This window comes from Homo sapiens, chromosome X (assembly GCF_000001405.40).
Source record: "Homo sapiens chromosome X, GRCh38.p14 Primary Assembly".
Taxonomy (NCBI): Eukaryota; Metazoa; Chordata; class Mammalia; order Primates; family Hominidae; genus Homo; species Homo sapiens.
The window spans coordinates 129,870,891-129,879,990 of NC_000023.11; the positions used below are offsets into that span (position 1 = coordinate 129,870,891).

Sequence of the window (9,100 nt, forward strand, 5' to 3'; positions counted from 1 at the left end):
GAGATGGGGTTTCATCAGTTGCCTAGGCTGATCTCAAACTCCTGGGCTCAAGGGATCTGCCCACCTCAGCCTCCCAAAGTGCTGGGATTACAGGTGTGAGCCACCATGCCCAGCCAGAGATGAGGATTAAGCTCAATTCCACCATTCCTACCTTCCATCCACCCCTTCTAATAAAGTGGTAGCATTATTTTTATTTCCTCTAATAGATATCTTTTTCACTTTAAATAACATACATCCACTTATATTTTCTGTTTAATCAACCATAGATAGTATCTCCTTAACGGCTTACTTTGCAAGATGAAGACATATTAGTGTTCTATGTTTCTCTCTAGCCCTCCTTTCCCCTACCTCCCAACCTATATCCATTTCTCCACATCTCTATTTTCACCCTTTTCCAAGCCATCATCTTAACAAGCCAGGTGCTCCAATGAACCACCCAGGGAATGGTGATGAAGTGAATGAGGACAAAGTGATGGTAAAGCAGCTTCATGGGTAGGAAACTCACATCTCTAAGAAATGCTGTGCAGAACTCTTTAGCATCTCTGAGTTCTTGGAACATAAGAAAAAATCGCACTAAAAATCCACCTGTCCTCACCATGAATGACAGCGAGGAGTCAGTGCCTTCAGAAGACTTTTGTGCAGCTGTACCAAGCCACCAGCCACCCAGTTCAAGCAGCGACAGTCCCAAGGAAAATGGTGGCAGCTAAGGGTACATAAAGGAGAAGCTGGGCGCAGAGTCTCTCTTGCACTTAAAGACAGAGACTGCCCTACCATCCACACTCCAGAACATAAGCTATTTACCCAAAGGCAAAGTGGCCAATATTAATGTGACTCTTCAGGCATTACAAGGAGACAAGGGAGTGGTAAATCAGTGAAGCTCATATGTGCTGCTGGCCCCTCTGCCCAGCACCAACAGCATCTTTTCAACGACAGCAGATCTAGCTCACTGAGCAGATTTGCATTCAAGTGAACTCGTGGGCCTCCCACACTCTCCACTCAGGCTAATACCCTGAAGACCTTAGATAGCCACATGTCCAAGCAAGTTTCTGTAGCTGTGGCTTTGCTCAGCCAGAAAGCTGGAAGCCAAGGTCTGTCTCTGGACACCTTAAACAAGCCAAGCTATCTCACCAGCATCCCTTCTGCTGCCAGCTCTGTGACCCCATGGCTGACACCCTTCACCCTGAAGCTGGATAGGACACGGGTGCTCCTGAATATTGTGTCTCAGCTCCCAAGTGCTTTGCTACCTCAGGCTTGGGTTCTGTGCTCTTCCAGAGTCCTTTCTCTACTGTGGCATTATACCCATCCAAGAAAGAGAAAGATAAGCCACCAAACATCTGAGATGTGTGTCAAACCCAAAGACGAGGCCATCCTCTACAAGCACAACTGTAAGAACTGTAGCAAGGTTTGGGAGACTGGTAGCTCCTTGCAGATCTATCCCCACATGCATACTGGAGAGAGACCCTTCATGTTCTCTGTGTGTGGTCATGGCTTCACCACCAAGGGTAACCTCAAGGTATACTTTAATCAATATCCCCAGGTGAAGGCAAACCCCCAGCTGTTTGCCAAGTTCCAGAACAAAATGGTGGTAGGCAATGGCACCCCATGCACTCCCTGTACCTGTCCCCATAGATGAATCCAGTCTCTCTTTAGACAGCAAACTTGTCCTTGTAACAAGGACCCCCTCCATAGAACTATCACAAAATCTTTCTTCGGGGGTTAACCCCAATGACCACATGGGTGGCTCATTGTTGGGCCTTCTCCAGAAAGTAAGGGTGGACCCACACTCCCTGGGGTGGTGCCAAACCATAATTCCCCAAGGGTTGGTGGCTTTCAAGGGAGTGGGACCACCAAGCCAGGGTCAGAGACCATGAAATTGCAGCAGCTGGTAGAGAACAGCAACAAGGCCACTTCTGACCCCAGTGAATGTCTCATTTGCCACCGAGTGTTAAGCTGCCAAAGTTCCTTCACAATGCATTACCTCCCTTGGGAAAACTGGCCTCCATACCTTGTCTACACAGTCCCTGTACAGGTTTCCTGATCGGTAAGTAAAGAATGTTGCTTTCTAACAGGCCCAGGAGCCCCAAGTTATCCTGGGACCTCAAGAGAAGAGGAAATTTAGGTATTTGATGGTACAAACCCATGGCTGGGTTCAGCTTTAAAAAAGTCTTATCTGGCCGGGCACGGTGGCTCACGCCTGTAATCCCAGCACTTTGGGAGGCCGAGGCGGGCAGATAACGAGGTCAGGAGATTGAGACCATCCTGGCTAACACTGTGAAACCCCATCTCTACTAAAAAAATACAAAAAATTAGCCGGGCATGGTGGCACATGCCTGTAGTCCCAGCTACTCGGGAGGCTGAGGCGGGAGAATTGCTTGAACCCAGGGGGCAGAGGTTGCAGTGAGCTGAGATTGTGCCACTGCACTCCAGCCTGGGCAACAGAGCAAGACTCCACCTCAAAAAAAAAAAAAAAGTATTATCTAAGATTTCTTAAGGAACAGAGTTCCGTCAAAGACAATTTTAAAAGCCTATGTTAAAAATAATTATTCTTGAAGTCAAGGCAGGCGGATCACTTGAGGTCAGGAGTTCAAGACCAGCCAGGCTGGTATGGTGAGACCCTGTCTCTACTAAAAATAGAAAAATTAGCTGGGCATGGCAGCGTGTGCCTGTAATCCCAGCTACTTGGAAGGTTGAGGCATGAGAATCGCTTGAACTCAGGAGGTGAAGGTTGCAGTGAGCCAAGATCATGCCACTGCACTCCAGCCTAGGCGACACAGTGAGACTCCATCTCAAGAAAAAAAAAATCTAACAATTATTATTATTATTGCTGCACTTTATACACATAATCAGGCCAAGTATAATAAAGCAAATCAGTCTTACCATGATTTGTCTTTAGTAAAAATGGGAGACTGGAGAGAGAAAAATTGTTTCAAGAACGATGGTACGCCTGTTATTAAATTATAGTCTCATTCGTTGTTTTTAAGGGTTTTTTTTCCTGCAATTTAGACTAACCGTGCTTATTCCTGTGAACCAACCAGTGATCTCTGGCTGCTGCTCAGAAGAAACAAGAGGGATGGGTAATGTAAAAATCTGGGTCAGTATTCTAATTCTGGGCACATATTAGAATCAGCTAGCGACACCATATCAGCTTGGTTTCAACAATTGCCCAGTTCGTGGAAAGCTTTCTTATTCAGTTCACTTGGAATAATTTTACTTACTTTGTTTTACTGTTGTGGAAAATATTGCTGCTGTACTCTTTGTGTAGGAATGCAGGATAAGCTTACTCAACATTTTCTTAAATTGAATACTTACTACAGATATCAGCTTTTGTCAGAACTCAAGAGTTATGGATGGCCCTCACCATACTTACACTTTCTGACTGAGCTCCTCTCTACCCTGAATACAAGAGACCCTAATAGGTAGGCAGGAGTATCATTGCCCAATTCAGCCTGAAGAAGTTACGGAAGATGGATCTTTGTCCCTCTATAACCCTTAAGATTAAGGGTTCCTGGCCAGATGCGGAGGCTCACACCTGTAATCCCAGCACTTTCGGAGGCCGAGGCGGGTGAATCACCTGAGGTCACGAGTTTGACACCAGCCTGGCCAACATGGCAAAACCCCATCTCTACTAAAAATACAAAAATTAGCCAGGCATGGTGGCACGCACCTGTAGTCCCAGCTACCTGGCAGGCTGAGGCAGGAGAATCGCTTGAACTCGGGAGGGGAAGGTTGCAGAGGGCCAAGATCGCGCCACTGCACTCCAGCCTGGGTGACAGAGCAAGCCTCCATCTCAAAAAAATAAATAAATAAATAAATAAAATAATAATAATAATAAAAGATTAAGGATTCCTTTGTAAAACGCAGGGGAGAAATATGTCAGAGGTGTTCAAACCAGAGTGCCTCCATCCTGAATAGGGGCTGGGTAAAATGAGGCTGAGACCTACTGGGCTGCATTCCCAGGAGGTTAAGCATTCTAAGTCACAGGATGAGATAGGAGGTTGGCACAAGATACAGGTCACAAAGACCTTGCTGATAAAACAACATGTGGTAAAGAAGCAGACCAAATCCCACCCAAACGAAGATGGTGAGGAAAGTAACCTCTGGTCATCCTCACTGCTCATTATATGCTAATTATAATACATTAGTATGCTAAAAGACACTCCCACCAGCACCATGACAGTTTACAAATGCCAAGGCAATGTCAGGAAGTTACCATTTATGGTCTAAAAGGTGGAGGAACCGTCCGTTCCAGGAGTTGCCCACCACTTTCCCGGAAAACTCATGAAAAACCCGCCACTTGTTTAGCATGTAGTCAAGAAATAACCACAAAAATAGCCAACCAGCAGCCCTCAGGGCTGCTCTGCCTATGGAGTAGCCATTCTTTTATTCCTTTACTTTAATAAATTTGCTCTCACTTGGAAAAAAATCATACATTACCACACCCACATTGGGGAGAGACCCATCCTATGTGAAATCTGTGGACAAGCTTTTTCTACCAAAGGCAACGTAAAGACACTTCTCAGGGTTCATGGAACCAACTCATCCATAAGTACATACCCCATTAGTCAAAAGAAATTTGCCAGTGTGGTCATGTTGCAACAACATATTTGGATGAACATGGGCACTCAGATTCCCAGCATGTCCCCGCCAGAGAATCCCTGTGATTTTAGGGGTCCTGAGCCAATGATGGTCAGTGAGAATGGTAATACAAGTGCCATCTGCCATGATGATGTTGAAAGAAGACACCACTGTGGATAAAGTCAGCTCCCAGGATGCCCCCAGTAGCTACTCAAAGGTCCTCACACCTCTTCTTAGCATCCACTTAATATAACCCACCCTAGGGTTTGCCACAAAGGCTTCCCTAGCAGTCACCAGGAAAGTGGGTCCTGTTCCTTCTGGCCTGCAGAGGCAGAGCAGCTGAAAAACGATTCAGTGGAGAGCAACAGTTTAATGACTCATTCTCACTGATGGGACACCAGGACTATTAGCCAAACTCCAGATGCTGTGGAAACCACATCCTTCCAGGCACGCTCCCTAGCAACTAGCCAAGCAGAAAGCATTATGACAAAGTCTCCAGATGCTGGGAGCAAAGCTGAGCACCCCAAGAACAGCCACACTGAGATGGGCTGTCTCCCATCAACGTTTTTCTGAGCCCAGTCAACATATGTCAAAGTTCAAGTTTTAACAGGTTTGGTGGCTAGCGCTTGTAATTCCAGCTACTAATGAGGCTGGGGCAGGAGGATCACTTGAGCCCAGGAGTTCAAGGTTGTGGTAAACTATGACTGTGCCACTGCACTCCAGCCTGTGCGAAAAGGAGAGACCCTGTCTCTAAAAAATAAAAATGAAAAGTTGAAGTTCCTGGTAATACAAATAGGAGACAGGGAAATACTGGACAGAAGAGGGCAGTTCCCCAGCAAAGGCCCCACCCTCAAGCCTGGATATCCACAGCCCTAAGTGAGAACAGGCATTCCTGTTTTTGTGCCGAAAATGTTGCCTTTTGGCCCATCACGCCCCCATCCTGTACCCATATAAACCCCAAACCCGAGGCTCCAGAAGCAGGAGATGAGGAGATGAGCAGACAAATGGCAGAATGGCACGGCACAGGAGAGAAGAGAAGAAACGTCAGGAGTTTTGCTGGGGGTGGTCAGAGAATCAGCCACCAGATGGCCAAACTGCAAGGGAAGATCATCTTCCCACTCCATCCCCTGTCCAGCTCCTCATCTATCCCACTGAGAGCCACCTCCACCACCCAATAAAACCCTGCATTCTCCATCCTTCAAGTCCATGTGTGACCTGATTCTTCCAGGATTCTGGACAACAGCTCAGGATACAGAAAACTGTCACACTGGCCCTCTGCCTTTGCAGAAAGGCAGAGGGTCCACTGAGCTGATTAACACTTAAGCCATCTGCAGATGGCAAGGCTAAAAGAGTGCACTGTAACACACGCCCACTTGGGCTCCTGCACCTGTCTGTCTGTGTACTCCCCCTCCTGTAAGAGGTTTGAGCAGCGACCAAACAGACAAGCCACACCCATCACACGTCCTGTGAGGGGGGCCAGGGAACTCTCCCCTTTCACTGGCACATTTGTTGGATCCTCAATCATGTCCCTGGTGTTAGCGGCCCAGCCACACTGACAGGCCAAGCAACACAGCTGCACACAGTGTGAGAAGAACTTCTTATCCACTAGTGCTCTTCAGATTCACAAGTGGACTCACACTAGAGAATAGCCTTTTGTGTGCAGCATACATGGGCAAGCTTTTACCACCAAAGGCAACTTGAAGGTCCACTGTATGACTCATGGAGCAAACAATAACTCAGCACACCAGAGAAGGAAGCTAGCCATTGAGAACACTATGGCTTAATTAGGTATGAATGGAAAGAATCTCAGAAATGTTTACTGGAAATCCTGGCCCCTTCAGTGAAGGTGGTGGAACCAATATACCAACATGCTCAACAGTGGTCTTGCCATGAAGACTAGCGAGATCTCTATGACCCAGAGTGGTGGTGTTCCCACCCTCCCAGTTTCTGTGGGGGCCAACTCTGCTGTGAATAACACTGCTGAGTCCAAGATGGATGGCTCCCAGTCAGGTATCAGTGCCAATGTGGAAAAACCAGGTGCTACTGAGACTGTTCCCACACATTGGTTCCCTCACTTCCTGGAAGAAAACAAGATTGTGGTCAGCTAAGCTAAAGGGGAACTTGCCTGGAAGAAGAAATGTAGACAGAGTGAAATGTCTAGACCATGCTTGTTCAACCCTCAGCCCGCAGGCCACATGCAGCCCAGGGCGGCTTTGAATGTGGCCCAACACAAATTCGTGAAGTTTCTTAAAACATTCTGAGATTTTTTTGTGATTTTTTTTTTAAGCTCATCGGCTATTGTTAGTATTCGTGTATTTTATGTGTGGCCCAAGACAATTCTTCTTCCAAGGTGGCCCAGGGAAGCCAAAAGATTGGACACCCCTAGTCTAGACTGTGCTTTTTATTCTTTTATTATTTTTTATTTGTATAAATTTATGGGGTGCAAGTGTAATTTTGTTACCTGCATAGATTGTGTAGTGGTGAAGTCAGGGCTTTTAGGGTATTGATCACCCAAATAACCTACAATGTACCCCTTAAGTAATCACTCATTATCCACCCCTTGCCTTACCCTTCCAAGTCTCTGTTGTCTATCATTCCACACACTACCTCCGTGTGTACACTTTATTTAGCTCCCACTTATAAGTGAGAACATGTGATATTTGTCTTTCTGTGCCTGGCTTGTTTCACCAAAGTTAATGGCCTCCAGTTCCATCCATGTTGCTGCAAAAGACATGATTGCATTTTTTTATGGCTGCATAGTATTCCATGATGTATACATACCACAGTTTCTTTATCTAATCCTCCGTTGATGGACACTTAGGTTGATTCCTTATCTTCGCTATTGTGAATAGTGCTGTGATAAACATACTATTGCAGGTGTCTTTTTGATATAATGATTTATTTTTCTTTGGGTAGATACCCGGTAGTGGGATTGCTGGATGGAAAGTAGTTGCATTTTTCGTTCTTTGAGAAATCTCCATACAGTTTTCCATAGAGGTTACACTAATTTACATTCCCACCAACAGTGTATAAGAGTTCATTCCCTTTTCTCCCCATCCTCACTAACATCTGTTAGTTTTTCTCTTTTTAATAATAGCCATCTGACTAGTGTAAGATGGTTTATCATTGTGGTTTTAATTTGCACATCTCTGATGATTAGCGATGTTGAGCATTTTTTCATGTCCGTTGGCCACTTGTCTTCTTTTGAGAAATGTCTATTCATGTCCTTTGCCCACTTTTTAATGGGATTATTTGTTTTCTTTTTTTTAAAAAAAAAACCCATCTCCTCCTCCCGTTTTCCTTATTCTTACTGATATGCAAATGATGTTTACAGATGGCAATCTCAGGCAGTTCTACAATCACAATTGTTATGCTGCTTTGCAAAACATAAAAACAAAAAAATCAAAAAAAGAAAATATCTATACCAAAACAAATACAGACTATAATTATTTTTTAATTTTGGAAAGAAGCAAGTCTTGAAAGTAGCTTTGTTACTTCCAACAAACTATATACATAGAAATTCTGTACAGCCTACAGTAACTACTTCCCAAGACTGTCGCCTATTTCAAGGTGGAACAGTTTGAACTTATTGAACCACAGTGGAAAAGACAACTACTTAGATTAATGGGGTGAGGAGGAGTACTGTATACTTCCATGATAACTGTCTGCAAGTAAATGGACAAGGTTATCATCTATTTAGGAACCTGTTTTGTATGTCTCCTAACCCTGTACCCATCTTTTGTTTTTTGAAAGTACTTTCAAAAATAAAGCAAAAAAAAAGATTATAGAATTACAAATTCCTCCAACATTTTTTTTTTTTTAAGACGGAGTCTCGCTCTTTTCACCCAGGCGGGAGTGCAGTGGCGCTATCTCAGCTCACTGCAAGCTCCGCCTCCCAGGTTCACGCCATTCTCCTGCCTCAGCCTCCCCAGTAGCTGGGACCACAGGCGCCCGGCTAATTTTTTTGTATTTTTTTAGTAGAGAGGGGGTTTCACCGTGTTAGCCAAGATGGTCTCGATCTCCTGACCTCGTGATCCACCTGCCTCGGCCTCCCAAAGTGCTGGGATTACAGGCGTGAGCCACCGCACCTGGCCTAATTCCTCCAACTTTTTTTGTTTTCTAGATGGAGTCTCGCTGTCACCCAGGAGGCTGGAGTGCAAGGGCGCAATCTCGGCTCACTGCAACTTCCACCTCTGGGGGTCAAGGGATTCTCCTGCCTCAGCCTCCCAAGTAGCTGGGATTACAGGTACCCACCACCACACCCAGCTAATTTTTGTATTTTTAGTAGAGACGGGGTTTCAGTTTCACCATGTTGGCCAGGCTGGTCTCAAACTCCTGGACTCAAGTGATTTGCCCCACCTCAGCCTCCCAAAGTGCTGGATTACAGGGGTGAGCCACTGTGTCTGGACTCCTTTAACTTTAGAACTTTAAATAGGATGTCCTCAAATGGACTTATGTTAGTTGTTAGGGAGTCAATGTCTGCTTATTTAAAAAACAGCTCAGTTGCAGCCACAAGAGTTCAAAT

The 9,100-nt window shown here is 45.3% G+C and overlaps 1 pseudogene; it reads left to right on the top strand.

Moving 5' to 3' along the window:
• Positions 414-6,745, top strand: SALL4P2 (spalt like transcription factor 4 pseudogene 2; annotated as a pseudogene).